Consider the following 18,475-nt stretch of genomic DNA (forward strand, 5'->3'; position numbering starts at 1 on the left):
TCTGGGCAACGAGAGCAAAACTTCGTCTCAAAAAAAAAGAGTGCTAGGTTCCTCCATAGTTGTTGCTAGCTAACTATAAAAGTTGAGACTTACATTCCTATAAGACTTCCTACTGCCCCCCAGGCTAGCTCTACGGTTGACAGTATCTGGTTAATTCATTTGTTTCAACTGAATATAACTAATAAAAATAATTGGATTCAGAAGAATGTAAAACTCTACATAACCAATAATTCTATGGTACATATAATGAATTTTATTCTGATCCTATGTGAAGAAGAAGAAAATCAAAGTTCTTTGAGATCCAAAGAGTTACTAACAGATTTCATGTGTTCTTCTATCCAATCACTAACACCTATTTATCGAGCTTGCCTGTTGGTTCCAGAAAGTGGCCTGGAGGGGCCAGACAGTTCCCAGAGATCCAAAAATGAATAAGACACAGGTTATGCCCCCAAACACACAGACTAGTGAGGGAGACAGATAAGTAAATGATGATTATGGGAGCAAGTGAGAAGGTCCTTAACTCAACCTTATGGGTTAGGAAAGTCTCCTTGGAAATGTTTTGAGCATATCCTGGAAGGTGTGGCCAATGTGAGAAAATTGCATGTGACTCAGAATGGCTGAAGTAGAGTGGTGAGGGATGAGGCCAGAGGGGTACACAGAGCCAGATGGCCTTTTCACTGTTCTAAGGAGGTGTATTAGTCTGTTCTCACGCTGCTAATAAAGAAATACCCAAGACTGGGTAATTTATAAAGGAAAGAGGTTTAATGGACTCACCGTTCCACATGGCGGGGGAGGCCTCACAATCATGGCAGAAGGCGAAGGAGGAGCAAAGCCATGTCTTACATGGTGGCAAACAAGAGGGCTTGTGCAGGGGAACTCCCATTTACAAAACCATGAGATCTTGTGAGACTTACTACCACAAGAACAGTATGGGGGAACCCGCCCCCCTGATTCAGTTACCTCCACCTGGCCCCACCCTTGACACGTGGTGATGATTGCAAGTCAAGGTGAGATTTGGGTGGGTACACAGCCAAACCATATCAGGAGGATAGAGTATCTTGAGGAGATGGAAGTTTCTAAAGATGAGGGTAGTACAGTAAGGTTGGGTGCTTTTTGGAACGATCTCTCTGGCTGCAGTCTGGAGCACAGATTGGAGATGAGAAAGAAAAGAGGAGGTGATAATCACTCTTTAGGAGCTTCCTTCAGCAACCCAGTGAGCAAAGATGGTGGTCATGGCAGAGGAGGGGCGAGACATGGGCAGGATTAGGCAGGATTAAAGAGGCACGATCAACACGTCGCTGTGAAAGCAACCCCTGGATTTTGCAACAAGTGCCAGACTCTTCTCCTGCACATTATTTGAGCACCAAAACTTGGGGTGTCACCAGTGGCATTTAACGTAAAGGTTAGTTTGAAGATTCCCAGTGCTGAAAAAGTCCTCTTGGCCTGATTCAGACCTGGCTGGCACTGTCAGGCTTTCAAGTTCAGTGCCCGTCTCAGAAATAGGAAGGTATTGTTCTGGAAATGGCTAAAAACATGAAGTTGGGCCAGGAGATGTGGGAGTGTGTTGGATGCTGTATAACTTGCCTTCTGTGATATTTATTTATTTATTTATTTTAGATGGAGTTTTGCTCTTGTTGCTCAGGCTGGAGTGCAGTGGCGCAATCTTGACTCACCGCAACCTCCGCCTCCTGGGTTCAAGCGATTCTCCTGCCTCAGCCTCCCAAGTAGCTGGGATTACAGGCATGCGCCACCATGCCCAGCTAATTTTATATTTTTAATAGAGACGGGGTTTTTCCATGTTGGTCAGGCTGGTCTCAAACTCCTGATCTCAGGTGATCTGCCCGCCTTGGCCTCCCAAAGTGCTGGGATTACAGGCATGAGCCACTGTGCCTGGCCTACCTTCTGTGATTTTTAAAATTTTACTTTATAGACAAGGTCTTATTTTGTCACCCACGCTGGAGTGCAGTGGCATGATCATAGCTCACAGCAGCCTCAAACTCCTGGGCTCAAGTGATCCTCCCGCCTCTGCCTCTGGATGCCTGGCTAATTTTTAACATGTTTCATAGAGATGGGGGCGTCTTGCTATGTTGCCCAGGCTGGTCTTGAACTCCTGGCCTCAAGTGATCCTTCCATCTCAGCCTTCCAAAGAGCTGGGATTACAGGCATGAGCTGTTGTACTCTGCCACCTTCTGTGATTTTGATTTTTCCATTATTAATCTTGAGAGGCTGCCTGGTAGTGTAACAAAGACACTTAATTAGGAATCAGTAGACTTGCAGTGAGTCCTGATTGTGTTGACTCCTTGTCCTGTGACCTTTGACTTTGGCAAATGACTTCCCTCTGTGGCCTCAGTGTCCTCATCTGTATAAACATGGTGCTGGGTAGAGAATGTATATGACTGCAAGATCACATTCAGTGCCCCCCGTCCATGATTCCCTGAGCTCACTGCCTGAATTGTAAGGCATTAGGAATTTTTAGGGACTGCTCTCAAGAACCACATCTCTCTCTTTAATGAAAGCAATTGTGGCACTCTGGCTTCAGGGAGGTTTATCGGACCATTCTGGGAAGGGATGGAAAAGCTTTTGTTTTCTTCTTAGAGGCATTTTTAGGAGCTGTAACCTGGTTATTTTGCTTTGATCTGGGGGAAATAGAAATTCCAGTGGGCTGGTGGCTTGCACAGTAGAGACCTATTTGAGCCTTGGGTGACCCCACCCACTCTTACCTTGCAAATTTCTTTCTTTACCCAGAAATCAGTATTTAAAATACTTTGTGATTCAGAAATGTTATCATTTTGTTCTCATAGAGGAAAAGTTTTTGACCTACTTTTATTAACTTGTTCAAACCTGAAGTAAAGACATAGTTATAAGGGCATAAAGTCAGAAAAGACATTTTTGTTCAAATTTTTACATTGCTTGCATATGGTCTGAATTTCGCTAGATAGCACTATCAATCTTTGGTATGCTTTAGAAATAGAATTGAATGTATTACTAAGCAGTATTAATAATTACATTTTCTCAGGAGTTCAAGTGATGGGAAACGGTCTTTAATCTCACAGTTATTTTAAGAGCTTGAAATATAATGTATGAAAGAAGTAGGGATCACCCAGCTATCATATCTTTGCTATTTACTTATTTTATGGATAAACTAATGTGTTGTTCATTTTGATTAGCTTGTATTTTATTATAGTTTGCTTGATTTTCAGATTTGACTTTAAACGTACTTGAATTATGTTTTTTTCTTTAATTTTGATTTATGGATGTAAGGAAGAAGAAGGAGAGACAGCCACAGAAGAGGTACGGTCGACCATCTTTAACAGCTGTGCTTAATCTGCTTAATAAAAACATCTTTTAGGTGGGAGGATTGCAGCTTGAGGCACGTTCTTAATAACATAAGAGAGCGATGCAACCCACACACCCAGAAAATCCTCCTTTAACATGCTGAGAAGGAAAGTAAGTTGGAGATAAGTTTGTCCGAGGGAGGTGGAGAGAGAAACGGGGCTTGGCTGTGGACTCTGTTCGGAGCCCCCTCAGGTGAAGGTGTCTTCCGTGGTTTCTCACTGACATCAGGCCAGGCCAGGCCAGGGCACTGGCTGGAGATGCCTGCTCCTCGTCCTTTTCCACCCTGTTGAATGCACTGGGTTTAGGCATCCTGCATGGTGGTTAGTGGTGTTTTCATTGAGGGAGGGATTCCACCTATGTTTATGTTTTTGAACATCTTTGAATTAATCACTTTTATTGTTTTTTTTTTTTTTTTTTTTTGAGACAGGGTCTCACTCTCTTGCCCAGGCTGGAGTGCAGTGGTGTGATCTCAGCTCACTGCAACCTCCGCTTCCTGGGTTCAAGCGATTCTCCTGCCTCAGCCTTCTGAGTAGCTGGAATTACAGGCACGTGTCACCACACCTGGCTAATTTTTGTATTTTTAGTAGAGATGGGATTTCACCATGTTGGCCAGGCTGGTCTTGAACTCCTGACCCCAAGTGATCCACCCACCTCGGCCTCCCAAAGTGCTGGGATTACAGGTGTGAGCCACTGCACTGGGCCTGGATTAATCACTTTAAAATGCTAGAGAACTAACTTAAAATTATGAACACAAGGGTAGGGAGAATAATTTACTAAGTTACGTGTATTGTCTAGATGTTTCAGCACAAGGTCATCAACATTAAAAAGGGTCCCAAATGTCAAAAGAAATCCCCCCAAAGAAACTTTTGTTAACTTTTTTTTTTTTTTGAGACGGAGTCCCGCTGTTTAGCCCAGGCCGGATTGCAGTGGCGCAATCTCGGCTCACTGCAAGCTCCGCCTCCCAGGTTCACGCCATTCTCCTGCCTCAGCCTCCCGAGTAGCTGGGACTACAGGCGCCCGCCACCGCGCCCGGCTAATTTTTTGTATTTTTAGTAGAGACGGGGTTTCACCGTGTTAGCCAAGATGGTCTCGATCTCCTGACCTTGTGATCCGCCCGCCTCGGCCTCCCAAAGTGCTGGGATTACAGGCGTGAGCCACCGCGCCCAGCCTTTGTTAACTTTTGAAATGACAAAATTCATGATCTTTATAGAAAATTTAAAAAATGCAGATAGAAGAGGAAAATGAACATAGCTTTTAACCCTCGTTACCCAGAGATAACCACTGTAGCTACATACACACACACACACACACACACACACTGTAGCTACACACACACACACACACACACACTGTAGCTACACACACACACACACACACACACACTGTAGCTACACACACACACACACACCCCATCAATTTCTGGTGAATACTCTTGTAGTCTCCTTTTTTTTCATGGAATGTGTCTATATTTGGGGAGGTAGTCAGTACAGATCTGCTTCATCATTTTAAATGTTAATATATCAAACCAACCCCTCTTCTTAGACCTATAGATTATTTCTAGTATATTCTACACCATGATTTCTCAATATTTACGTCTTTCCAATAATTATTTCTTTTGTTTCTCTCTTGCTAGGCCAGCTTCAAAATAGAATTTTAAAAATAAGATAAAAACATATTGTTAATTTGGAAGAAATTCCAGATTATATATATAGGTTGCTGATAACTTTTGCTTCAAGAAATTAGCTTGTTACAAGAAAATGTAACCAACTTGTGCATTTAACAGCTCATCCTGACAAAATTCAATTTGCTGATTCTTTTTGTATTTGATTCTTCTAACTATATATATATATATATATATATATATATATATATATACTTTCTGAATTTGTAAAGGTTATTTGCTGAGAATGGTTTGTTAATATGAGTGGAGACTGTACACTTAGGTGGGATTATAAAACCTGTTAGGATTAACATATCATTCTAAAGCACCATTCTAAATTGAGGACTCTGTGTTTAGAAGGATGATTTTTTTTATGTGTGTGTATGTATGTGTGGTATGTGTGGTGTGTTGTATGTGTGGTGTATGTGTATTTGTGTGTGGTGTATATGGTGTGTGGTGTGTTTGGTGTGTGTGTGTGTGATGTGTGTTATGGTGTGTATGTTATGGTGTGGAGGGTATGTATGTGTATGTGTGATGTGTATGTGTATATTGTGTGTGTATTTGTGGTATATGTGATGTGGTGTGTGGGGTGTGTGGTCTGGTGTGTGTGTGTGCTATGTGGTGTTTGGTATTTGTGTGTGGTGTGTATGTGGTGTGTGTGCGTGGATGTGTGTCTGGGTGGTGTGTGGGGGGGTGTGTGTGCTGTGTGTCATGTGTGTTTCCGTGGTGTGTGTGTGTTTGGGCGGTATGTGTGTGGGGTGTGTGTGTGGCATGTGTTTGTGTGGCATGTGTGGTGTGTGTATTTGTGTGTTGTGTGTGTTTGTTTGTGTGTTGTGTGGTGGGGTGTGGGAGGCTTTGACCTCTAGTCCAGCATTTTACAGTCTTTTTCTCACTGTATCCTTGGCCCTTATGCTTCTTAATACTAATGTAAGTTTTGTTAAAATAAGACGGAAGAAATAGCCATGGAGGGTGCGGAAGGGGAAGCCGAGGAGGAGGAAGAAACTGCAGAAGGAGAAGAGCCTGGAGAAGACGAAGATTCCTAGGCCTTTTCATGCTTCATTTCTTCCACTTCTCCAGGTAGCTACAGGATTCTGGGGTGGAAAAGCTGCTAGTTACCGTACTGTATGCTATCTGCGGCACATTTTGCTTAGTAACAGGAGAAAGGGAATTCCAATTCAGGGCTGTCTGTCTCCTTCCAAAGCCCTGGTCTGCACACCTTTCTGGCGGGGTCCAGCTCCTTTCTAGAGCTGCGGGGCTGCTGACCTTTCGTGGGTCTGTTTCTTGCACACTAGGGCACAGAAGGCTATGGTTGATGGGATTTCTAGGAAAAAGTGCACCTTTGATGCAGGGAAGAGTTTTGTTTTGCATTTACTTCCTCCTCTTCCTCTATATAAACTTTGTTTGAGAGAAGATACAGCAAGTGTCCTTTTATCAGCATTCTGTAACCTCAACTCCTCCACCAACCACATGTACAACTTTAGGGGGGTGACTACTGATGTTCAGAATGATGGCAATAAATTATAACCTTAAAAAATCACAAAGCTGGTGTTGAGTCATGAAAGAAAATTATTGCTGCCACGGGTTTAGTCGTCAGTGCTTGGTACTCCATTTCCGTTTCTATTAACCAGAACGCTCCTCTGGAAACACCGGGGAACATGGTGAAGTCCCTTTAGGTATCTTTGACAAGTAAGCTCTTGCTGCCTTCTGGTTTTAAACTTCCCTTGATGATGGAAAATAATTATGTAATTCTTACTAGTTTGATAAGTGCCACATATTAGTGAACATTTATTAAGTGTTAATAAGACAATAGAATCTGATAATGGATCTTGAGGACATGGGCGAATGCTTAAATATTGTGAGCCATACAGATAGGACAGCATGCGTGAAAACCCCTAAAGACATGAAGTGCATTAGCCGGGTGGGGTGGCTCATGCCTGCGGTCCCAGCTACTTGGGAGGCTGAAGCCTGAAAATCACTTGAACCCGGGAGGCAGAGGTTGCAGTGAGCCAAGATTGCACCACTGCACTCCAGCCTGGGTGACAGAGCAAGACTCTGTCTCCAAAACAAAAACAAAAACAAAAAACAAAACAAAACAAAACAGAAGACATTAAGTGCTATAAAAATATCTGTTTTTTCCTGATATTTGGCAAATACCTAGGTACATGTTGTATTATTATTAATATGATTGGCTTTGCAACTGAATTTGAGGCCATAGTTTATTCTCTAGGGCAACATTGCTCATGGTTTTGCTCTGGAGCTATAAGCGTTTTTTAAAAAATTTAAAAAAGTTTAGTCTTTTTATCTCCCATATTATGCCTCCACTGAAAATTAAGACGGCTTTTTGGGCTGTTACTCTCAGGAGATAATGATGGAATATGCACTCATTATTCTCTAAATGAGAGACACTTATCAAACCAGTAAGAATTACATAATTATTTTCCATCGTCAGTAGAAGTTTAAAATTACAAGGCAGCAAAAGCTGACTTGTCAAAGATACCTAAAGTGACTTCACCATGTTCCCCAGGCAGGTCTCTAGTTAAGAATTGGTGCATGTACAAAGAAGGGTGGATAGAAGGGTTTATTTGGAGAAGGAAGAAGAAATCTTTGGTGCTCTTTAAAAATTGGCTGACAAATAGCAATGCTCTTTGCACCAAAGTCCAATTTGAATAGTAGGGATGTCCCTTCTTAATAGACTTACAAAAAAAAGCTGATATAAAAAGCACTTAATCTATTTTTAGAGCATCTTGGAGCTAGTGAGGGTGGCCATCACACTTTGTTATTGGACCATAAAGGTTTTGTCATTCATTTGCTTGAATGAGAAAGTGATTCTAGCCCACGATTTGATGTCTCTCCAGGGTGTTTCTTTCATGCTCTGGACCCACAGACTTCTACTTTAAAGCCCTCTGCTTGCCACTTGGTTACAATTCCATTTCTAAGGAGTGGGTTGGGACTCATTTTTGAAAAAAAGGAAACTGGCAAGCTTAAGATATTCTACCTGAAGAATGGTAGAAAATGAAAATATGATTATATTTATCCTCATACCAGAAACAAAACAAAGCAAAACCCACAGTAACAGACTCATTGGTCCTGTTTAAATCCATGTCTGTTCACTCAGCTTGGAAAGTTCTTTAAAAATTGTGCAGTTTTAATGTGATAATTATAAAGAAATATTGGATGTGAAATGGCACAGCCGAGAGAGAATCTTTAATGTAGACAGATGGCTTCTTTATAGGCCATTTCCAAAAAAGAAAGAAAAAAAGGCAAGTTACAGTTGTGGCTAGCACATTCTGCCTGTTTCTCTGATGGGTTCTAGTTTGGAATCCAGTCCCTAATAGTCTGTTGTGAGGTCAAAATGTCTGACAGTGAAGGAGTAAACCAGGCAGCACCCTAAATCCCAGCCACTGACTCCCGAAGAGAGTCAATAACCTTTAAAATGCGACATGATGATGCAGTCAGGTATTCTGCAAACTATTTGGCTTCCAAAAACAAACCCATCTCATAACTCATAGATTATCCATGCATTTTATTTGAAAAGACGATTTTAGACAGAACAAGGCAATGAATGGAACTATGAAAGAATTCTCATTTCCCATAGTTGAAGTTGGAGTCAGAATCTATTATTATTATTATTTATTTATTTATTTTATTTTTTGAGACAGGGTCTCACTCTGTCACCCAGGCTGGAGTGCAGTGGTGAGGTCATGGCTCACTTTGACCTCCCTGGTCTCAGGTGATCCTCCCACCTCAGCTTCTTGAGTCGCTGGGATTACAGGCACGCACTACTATGCCTGGCTAATTTTCGTATTTTTTGTAGAGATGGGGTTTCACCATGTTGCCTAGGCTGGTCTCGAACTCTTAGGCTCAAGTGCTCTGCCCACCTTGGCCTCCCAAAGTGTTGGAATTACAGGCATGAACCACCACGTCTGACCTAGAATCTAAATTGATGTTTGAGTCCCAGGGCAAATAATGTCCAATATGAGACTGGATTCTACCTCCCCAAAGCTTGCCACTTAATACCTTCTTCTGGTGTAGCCATGAACCATTTAGAGCTCCGCCTCTGGGACCAAGCTGTCAATTCAGCCTATTTTCCATGAAAACACAGTGGGAAATTATAATTGGAGATGTTGTCTTCCTTATGGTGTTTGATATGTGTTTATGCAGAGAAAGGATATAAATCTAGCTTAGTTTTCCATGAGACAAATTCCCTTTCCTTTCAGTGGGGAGCAAATGATGACTAGTGGTTTATAGAATAAAAGGCAACACTTTCCTTTATTGTATGTTAAGTGATGAAGATTGTGGTAAACATTCTGTGTCTTTCTCTACAGTCTTTCCCTAATATTTGCCTTTTCTTTTAGAAAATGGAAGCTATGAAGCAACATTTCAAATGTCTCTCCACAAACCAAACTCAACAGAATACTTTGGCTTGAAGCCGGCACACCCAGGGTTACTGAGGACTTATGCTGCCTGACCTGGTTAGATGTACATGGAGGTATCTCCCGAATCATACAAAATTAAATGTGAAGACCGTTTATGCATACCTTCATGTGCCTGACAGTCTTGGCTTTTGAAGATTTTTTTTTCTTTTTTGCTCTGCATAGCTAGACCATCTTATTAATAATACTCTGAAAAAAATGATTTCAAGGCATGGAAGTTCTCTGTGATACAACAATAGTATTTCTTCAAATGCGCCTTATGCTACTTATCTCAGAAACAGGTTTTAAAATGAAGTGCTTTCCAGAGAACCATCATATAAATAAAGATTAATAGAAAAATATCTTGTCCCAAGGAGCATCATTTCATTATTTATAGTCTCTGCTTGCATATGCCTGAACTCCGTCTGTCTGTTGCCAAGTCTAAATCTTCAGCAGCACTTTTCTGTCTGCGTTGGGATCGATGTCTTTTATTGCACTGATTATTTGGTCCATGTTTTCAATTGCATTGATTGTCTCATTACGTCGTATTTTTTTTTTTATTACACACACGTTGTGCGTATCATCTTTGAAGCCTTATCTAACTGTAACTTTATCATCCACTTGTGTGGGGATGATGGTAAGGAGGGATGATGGTAAGGACAGAAATCTGCAACCCAGTGCCCTTCACACGTTTCTGAGCTGAAGGGAGTGGCTGCTTCTGTTTCTCCTGCTGTTGATTGATTTGTAGCCATGGCTGTGGAGACGGGTCCTGTAATTTTTCTTCCTGATGGCCAGGAGTGTGTGTTCACCTACAGCTGATCCAGCTCCAATGACTTGTACACCAGGTAAGTTTGATAGCATTTCTCTGCTCACCTGCCTGCCTCAGTTTACTGTAGATATTTTTTCTTCCTTGTAAGATTTTGATATTCCCCCTGCTACCTCCCTGCCTATGTGTGATTCCTTGTGTTTTTGCAGCAAATGTTGCTCCTGTATTGTCAGAGGGGCTCATCTCCTTGCTGTGCTCTTTTCCTATTTCATGTTAATTATGGCAATTCAACTTGGAGTGGCATAAACTTTCCCCTCTGGAGTCTGCCTCCTAATTTTGCAGCAGAGTCTGTTGGTGTTATTTCAGAGTGTATTCTGCAGTTGCAGAAGTCTCGTGGCTGTCATGAACTCTGGGAAACGGCTCTTTTCTTGTTACCCTAGTAACAAAAAAAGGCATTTTGAATAGAATTAGGTTATTTTGTTTCCAATCATTGAAGTAGTCTGTGTTAAAAACATTTCTCCCTTTGCTTAAGGTAAAAGACCACAGTAAAATGGAAATTCATATAATTGAAAATTAATTTCTACTTTTAATTTCATTGCACTAAATTATGTCCTATCTAAAAAGCTTGCATAATTTTTACAACAACCCCCTACACAAATAGGCCTTAACTTTCTTCTTCTTGCTCAGGGCTGACTTTTCTCTCTTTCATGGCAGAGTAGGATGGAGATAGATTTAGTTAGGTGCCAATTTTCCTCCTATTTCTCTCTCTCTCTCTCTCTTTTTTTTTTTTGAAACAGAGTCTTGCTCTATCGCCCAGGCTGGAGTTCAGTGGCAGGATCTCAGCTCACTGCAACCTCCGCCTCCCAGGTTCAAGCAATTCTCCTGCCTCAGCCTCCTGAGTAGCTGTGATTACAGGCACGTGCCACTACGCCCAGCTAATTTTTGTATTTTTAGTAGAGACAGGGTTTCACCATATTGGCCAGGCTGGTCTGGAACTCCTGTCCTCAAGAGATCTGCCCACCTTGCTATTTCTCATATTTTAAAAAGAAAATAAATATCTATGCTGACAATAAGCAAAGATAAAAACCCAGACCACTTATTTAAATTGAATTAATTTTTTCTTATATTGTTTTCCTGTAGTCAGAAACATTAACATCTTAGAAGGGTATTTGTATTTGCTCCTGTTTCATTTTATTTAAAGTATCACTGAAATGCAAAAATCACTTAGATCAATAGTACCCTATGGATGGTATCAGTTCTCTTCTAGTTTTGGCTTCAGCTGTCCCTTCAGCCTTCCATGGTTAGCAATCCAGTGGCACAGTGAGGAGAATCCCAGATATGGACTGTATGGTATCAAAATACGATTAAAAAATCTGAATGCTTTTCAATATAGGAAGCTTCTAGAAACTAAGCAGCATTGTGAATCTGTAAAAAAGAATAACTCACAAGGAAACCCCAAGTGAATAAGGAAAATCATTTTGAAGAAAAACCAAAAGAGACCAGAGAAATGGAATAATTGCATGATGATCTGAAGTGAATCGAAGTTCAAAGAGCTTGGTTTAATAGTATAAAGGAGGCCTGAACACGCAAAGGAACTGTTTCTTTTCTTTCCTTTTTTTTTTTTTTAATTAGAAAAGCAACTACACAAAAATTTGAGTGTATTTTTTTTCCAGCCACTGAACAATACACTCTCCTTTCCCCACTCTCCTCTCCTGGGCTCCCTCTCGTTTCTTTGGACTGAAATCTTCCTTTGTGGTTGTCTTTGAGTTCTTAGTTTTCTCAATGAAATGTGAAAGGTATAGGAAGAGAATGAACTGTATTGCCTGCAAAGATTCTTTGGAAATATTTACAGATTTTTTTTCTTTTTTTTTTTTTGGAGACAGTGTCTCGCTCTGTCGCCAGGGTGGAGCGCAGTGGCACTCTCACTGCAAGCTCTGTCTCCCAGGTTCAAGTGATTCTCCTGCCTCAGCTGCCGGAGTATCTGGGACTATAGGCCTGCACTACCATGTTTGGCTAATTTTTGTATTTTTAATAGAGATGGGGTTTCACCGTGTTGGACAGGCTGGTCTCGAACTCTGACCTCAGGCAATCTGCCCACTGCAGCCTCCCAAAATACTGGGATTACAGGCGTGAGCCACCATGCCCAGCCTACAAATGTTTTCTTTCAAAACTCATTTACCCGGGCCAGGTGTGGTGACTTATGCCTGTAATCCCAGCACTTTGGAAGGCCGAGGTGGGTGGATTGCCTGAGCCCAGGAGTTCAAGACCAACCTGGGCAACATAGCAAGACCCCATCCCTACAAAAAATACAAAAATCAGCCAGGCATGGTTGCGTGTGCTTGTAGTTCCAGCTACTCGGGAGGCCAAAGTGGGAGGATTGCTTGAGCCAGCACTCTAGCCCAGCCCATTGATCACGCTACTGCTCTCCAGCCCGAGTGACAGAGCAAGACCCTTTCTCAAAAACAAAACAAAACAAAACAAAAAAACCGCACCTCATTTAACTGTTAACACCTGTGCAAGCACGGCAAGTAGGTGTGAAGGGCCTGGTACATTGTAATAACAGAGAATGGCCATTAGGTGGCGATAAAAGACAAGCTTCTTGCTATGGTGTCGCTGCCCCCGAGGTCCCCTGGCTGTGAACCCGAGTCAGGGTACTGCTAGTTGACATTAGAAGGTGGGAAGAGGTATTTGTCAACCAGATGGAGGAAAATAGACAAAAACTCTACTTATAATTAATTTGTGAATTAATTAGTGTATCATTTATAAAGCTTTTATCCAAGATAACTTTATTTTGGGCCAAATGTGCATTTATTGTTTGAATGCACATCCTTGCATTATACAAAAGGAGCCTAAATTCAGTCAACAACTGATTGCATGTTGACAATTTTGATAAAGATACGGGGTCTTTTAGCCTCTAATGGGGTTCTATCTTATCAAATAAGTAAAAACAGAACTCTGATTATTGAAGGGGTTGATTATCCTTTTCTTTCGCAAGACTTTTAGTTCGAATAGAACATATGTCCAAATATTTGGAAATATATTCACGATCCTAACAAAGGCATTCCTTTCACAGTTGTCTAGGTTACTTGGCTTTTTCACTACTTTGTTTTGGAAGGACTTTCTTGGAAGTAGTAAAACTGAGTTGGGAAATCTTTAAAATGTATCAGTGCATCTGGCTGTTTTCCAAATCAGAAGTCAGGAGATTGTTCAATGATGCGGAAATGTACTCAGGTGTGGAAGATTCCAGTTGGGGAGGGGCTCAGGTGGACAGGTGTGAGTAGCATAGAGGGGGCGTGGAGTGGGGGCTTAACCTGGGGGGCTCCTGGTTCCAGTCCGGCATTCTGTAGATTTAGCACCCGGATCTTGTCAGGGGAGGTGAGAGAAACCTCCGAGGCAGACTCCCATGAATCAAGCTCACAGTCTAGGCTTACAATCAGGGTGTGGGCTTTCCTATTATTTTTATTCACTAACACTAACGGAGTGCCTGCTATGAGCCGGGCTCTGTATTAAAGGCTTCGTGTGTTGCCACAGTAACCCGATGAGGTGGATACCATCTTTATCTGGCAAGGAGGAAACTGAGGCACCGGGTTTCAATTCAGTACTTCGGCAATGGCTGAACCGAAGCTGAGATATACCTGTGTCCCACTCCAAAGCCACGAACAGCCTTCCCAACAAGCCCTTTCCTCTCGGTCCTGGACCACAGTACGGTTCCTCTACGGTGCCTGGCTGGCCGTGGGCAGTGTGCGCCTTGGCCCCAGAGCGCCTCCTCCGCCTGGCTTTGGTCCTCGCATTCTGTCTTCAGACTCGATGCCGTTCGGGCCCTGGTGCAAGGTGCCTTGCCCTTCTCACTTACTATCCACCTATTTTGTTTTCTTAGTTGCACCATCAGAGGTCTATTCCATTACCTTCATCTTCCAGTTCTTTGGGCCGCTAGCTGTGGCCGCCACCACCAGCGCCAGTTACAGAGGGAACTGGGTCACTGTCCACCCACAGGGTTCTAGAAATTGGTCAGTGGCCTCAGATCCGAAGTTTCAGGTTGCAGAGAGAAAATACTAAAACTGCCACCTGCCTTTTCCAGCCTGGTTGTCCTTGGATATATCTTGCCCACTGATGCGGAAGGACACACACACACCAATAACTCATTTGGTTCTGAGCTATCAACTGCCACGCAGTGATGTGCCAGAGTTGCAACCAGCCCCACATGGTATTTTTAGCTGAGAGAACAACTCCTTCTAGTTGAGGATGGTTTAATGAGTGCGTCTTAATCCCATGACATGAATTTTAGTTCGTTTTGTAGCAGGTCAGGTTTCTCTGTAGTCCCTGCTTTTTAAAAAATTATTTTTAATTTTAAATTAAAAATTTTGTGGGTACATAGGTGTATATATTTATGGGTTATATGAGATATTTTGGTACAAGCATGCATTTTGTTTTTTTGGGAAAGTTTTTATTTCTCCTTCATGTTTGAAGGATATTTCCACTGCATGTACTATTCTGGGGTAAGTATTTTCCCTTCAGCACTTCAAATATGCCATGTCACTTTCTCCTGGCTTGTAAGGTTTCTACTGAAAAGTCTGTTGGAGGTCCATTGTACGTTATTTGTTTCTTTTATCTTGCTGCTTTTAAGATCTTTTCTTTATCCTTGACCTTTGGGAATTTGACTATAAATGCCTCGAGGTAGTCTTCTTTGGGTTAAATCTGCTTAGTGTTCTATAACTGCCTTGTACTTGGATATTGATACCTTTCTCTAGGTATGGGAAACTCTGTTACCTTCCCTTTGAATAAACTTTCTGTCCCTACCTTTTTCTCTACCTCCTCTTTAAGGCTAATAACTATTAGGTTTACCCCTTTAGGCTACTTTCTAGATCCTGTAGGATTGCTTCATTGTTCTTTATTCTTTTTTCTTCTCTGTGTATTTTCTTATTTTTGATGCACTTTTTGTTTCAATAATTTTTGGGGTACAGGTAGTTTTTGTTTACATAGATACGTTCTTTAGTGGTGATTTGTGAGATTCTAGTGCACCTGTCACCCAAGCAGTGTACCTAATATGTAGGCTTTTATCCCTCAACCCCCTCCCAAACATCCCCTCAATCCCTTAAATTTCATTATATCATTGTTATGCCTTTGTGTCCTCACAGCTTAGTGCTCCCTTATAAGTGAGAACACATGATATTTGGTTTTTGATTCCCGAGTTACTTCACTTAGAATAATGGCCTCCAGCTCCATCTAAGTTTGCTGCAAATGACATTATTTCATTCCTTTTTATGGATGAGTAGTGTTCCGTGGTTGTATATATACCACATTTTCTTTATCCACTTGTTGGTTGATGGGCACTTAGGTTAGTTCTATATCTTTGCAATTGTGAATTGTGCTGCTATAAACATGCATGCGCATGTGTCCATTTCATACAATAAGTTCTTTTCCTTTGGGTAGATACCCAGTAGTGGGATTGCTGGGTCAAATGGTAGTTCTATGTATGTAGTCTGGAGATTCTTTTAAGAATCTCCATTCAGTTTTCCATAGTGATTGCACTATTTTACATTCCTACTGGTGGTGTAAAAGTGTTCACCATATCTATACCAACATCTATTGTTTTTTGACTTTTTCATTATGGCCATTCTTGCAGCAGTAATGTAGCATCTCATTGTGGTTTTAACTTGCATTTCCCTGCATTCGTGATGTTGAGCATTTTTTTTGTATGTTTGTTGGCTGTTTGTCTTCTTTTGAGAAATGTCTATTCATGTCCTTTCCCACTTTTTGATGGGTTATTTGTTCTTTTCTTGATGATTTGTTTGAGTTCCTTCACCAGTTATACTAGGTATGGCCATTTTACATAATCCCATATTTCTTGGAGATTTTGTTCATTTATTTTGATTCTGATTGGGTTAATTCAAAAGCCTTGTCTTCAGGCTCTGAAATTCTTTCTTCTACTTGTTCTAGTCTATTCTTAAAACTTTTCACTGCATTTTGTATTTCCCTAAGTGTGTCTTTAATTTCCAGGAGTTCTAATTGGTTTTTCTTTATGATACCCATCTTTCTGGAAAATTTTTCATTCATATCCTGAATTTTAAAAAATTCCTTTATTTTGTTTTTCACCTTTCTCTGGTATCTCCTTGAGTAGCTTAATAATCAATCTTCTGAATTCTGTGTCTGCTATTTCAAGGATTTTAGATTGGTTTGAATTCATTGCTAGGGAGCTAGTGTGATCTTTTGGGGTGTTATTGAACCCTATTCTGTCATATTACCAGAATTAATTCTCTGGTTCTTTCTCATTTGGGTAGACTATTTTTTCAAATTGTTCTTGAATGTATTTGACTGTATTTTTTTCTTTAATTTCTTTTTTTTTTTCTCTTAAGGGTCTGACTTCAATGTTTATAGTTTATTATAGCCTAATTTGATTCTTGGTGATTTTAGGGGGGAAGACTCCGTATGAGTTCCTTAGTTATAGAGAGTCTTTGTGTGCTGGCTTTCCCAGATGTTGGCTGTAGTATTTATGTACTTGGTGTATGGGCAAGTTCACTGTCTCCTACATGGTTGGAATAGCAAGGATCTCTTGAAGCTTATCTCATTCTCCCATTGTGAACAGTTTTTAAATGTATTTGATTTTTCCCCAGCATTTTATTTACTGAGTTGATGATTTAGGCTTCAGGCCAGTAGAGGAGGTAACCCTGGGTAGACACCAGTTGTAGCTAAAACAGGTAGGTAGCTGTAATACCCAGTGGTGGGCGCAGGTTCCAGCCTTGATGAAGGTGTCTGAGGGAGCTCTCAATTAGATGTCTAAGGTTTTATCAGGGTAAAGGGTGGGAGCTACCTCAGCTCCCCTGCCAGGCCAGCAGGAAAACTACTTACCTCCCAGCTTCACTCCTGTCCCAGTGTTCTGGCTATTCAGATCAGACAAGCACTTCTTTTCATCTGTAGGAATGTTGATGTTCCAAGTAGAGAGGGGTTGTGACTCTGCCTCCCACGCAAGCCTAAATCTGAGGAGTGCTCCTCCTGTGGGGATGCTATCACCCTGAATTGTACCAGAAGGCTGACCATAGGTGCATCCATGCTGCATACCCATGAGAGAAGCACCAGCTGTGTCTGCAATGGTGTACCAGAGAAGAACAAGAACCCCTTTTCCAAGACCCTTCATGTACAGACAGGCTGCCTGCCTACTGGGGCAGACTTTCCCTACTGTCCCTAGCAATGCAATTGTATCTCTGAAACTTCCCATTAGTGGATAGATCTGGGACTCAAGACCTGCTGTTTAGATTCTTTCATCTGGGTATTCTTCCCTTTGATGTTGTATTCCTCCTCTTCCCTAAAAATGGGAATTCCTGAGAACCATACTATAGGGATTGTTATTGCTCTCCTGGGTCTAGCCACCCAGTGGGGCTACCAGATTCCAGGCTGGTGTTAGGAAATGTCTACAAGGGATCCAGTAATGTGACCTGTCTTCAAGTCTCCCATCTGTAGATACCAGCACCAGCTCTGATGGAGGTGGCAGGGGAGCAATGTGGATTCTGTGAGATTCCTTGGTTGTAGATAGGCTTAGTGTGTTGGCTTTCTTGAATGCTGGTTATAATTGTAGTGAACTTGTCATGTGGATAGACTCAAGACCTCTGGTTAGCCAGGGTGCTGTATGCAGAGGTGATAGCTGAGGTCACATGACTGTTTTCTCCTTCCTGGGCACAGTGTTATTCTACTCAGAAGTGCTACAATGGACTGTGTTGGTTGGCCTCCATCCAGGAGGTGGTGATTGCCAAAGAGCACTAGCTGTGGTAGTAACAGTGGGATTTGAGCTTGCCCTAAGTTGCCCTGGGAAAGTATTCTGGTTTCTCAGGCAATGGGTGAGGCTATAAAACTCCCCAAAATTTATGTCCTTTGTGTAAAGCTACTAGAGTGGGTGGAGGGGCACAACCAGGTTGGGGCAGGGTTAGGCAGGTCTGCACTCTGACTCTCCTTGAGCAGGGTTAGTGACAGCTCCCGCAAGGGTTGGGGAAATTTTTTTCATGCTGCTTGGGTAATGTTCTGGAGAGGAGCATAACTGCCTCTGCTGCACAGGACAGTTTGCAAAGGGAGTGGGGAAAAGTGGGTAGCAGTAAGTCTCATGCAGCTCCCATGCATTTGGCAAGGCTGATCTCACTCCTGCAGTACTCTGCTAACAGTGCTGGGTTAGATCCAGGCAGTCTGTGCACAGAGCTGCGCCAGGCCATCAGCTTCCCTGCACAGATAGCAATCTTGGCTTTCAGGTCACACTGTTCCCCATCTGCCCACAAGGCTGGGTACCCAGCTCCTGAGGGTAGTGTCTGTAGAGCACTT

General features: G+C 41.9%; 2 protein-coding genes across 8 annotated transcripts in view; both read left to right on the plus strand.

Annotated features, from left to right (window-relative positions):
- The window catches only part of GET1-SH3BGR (GET1-SH3BGR readthrough), a 135,179-nt gene extending 125,411 nt beyond the window's left edge, over window positions 1-9,768 (plus strand). For 2 of the 3 annotated variants that reach the window (NR_146618.2, NM_001317744.2), the window contains 3 exons: window positions 3,262-3,291; window positions 5,944-6,073; window positions 9,352-9,768. Coding sequence is in view for 2 of the 3 variants with exons in the window: in NM_001317744.2 (NP_001304673.1) it covers window positions 3,262-3,291; window positions 5,944-6,039 (126 nt within the window). In the remaining variant the exon portion in view is untranslated. The remainder of the gene's footprint in view (window positions 1-3,261; window positions 3,292-5,943; window positions 6,074-9,351) is intronic. The other variant, NM_001350300.2, reaches the window with a different exon arrangement.
- Window positions 1-9,770, plus strand: part of SH3BGR (SH3 domain binding glutamate rich protein) — a 69,642-nt gene extending 59,872 nt beyond the window's left edge. For 3 of the 5 annotated variants that reach the window (NM_001317742.1, NM_001001713.1, NM_001317741.1), the window contains 3 exons: window positions 3,262-3,291; window positions 5,944-6,073; window positions 9,352-9,770. In NM_001317742.1, coding sequence (NP_001304671.1) covers window positions 3,262-3,291; window positions 5,944-6,039 — 126 coding nt within the window. In that variant the 3' untranslated portion in view covers window positions 6,040-6,073; window positions 9,352-9,770. The remainder of the gene's footprint in view (window positions 1-3,261; window positions 3,292-5,943; window positions 6,074-9,351) is intronic. The other 2 variants (NM_007341.3, NM_001317740.2) reach the window with 1 other exon arrangement.
- Window positions 9,771-18,475: the final 8,705 nt, after the last annotated feature.

Source organism: Homo sapiens, chromosome 21, assembly GCF_000001405.40.
Source record: "Homo sapiens chromosome 21, GRCh38.p14 Primary Assembly".
Taxonomy (NCBI): Eukaryota; Metazoa; Chordata; class Mammalia; order Primates; family Hominidae; genus Homo; species Homo sapiens.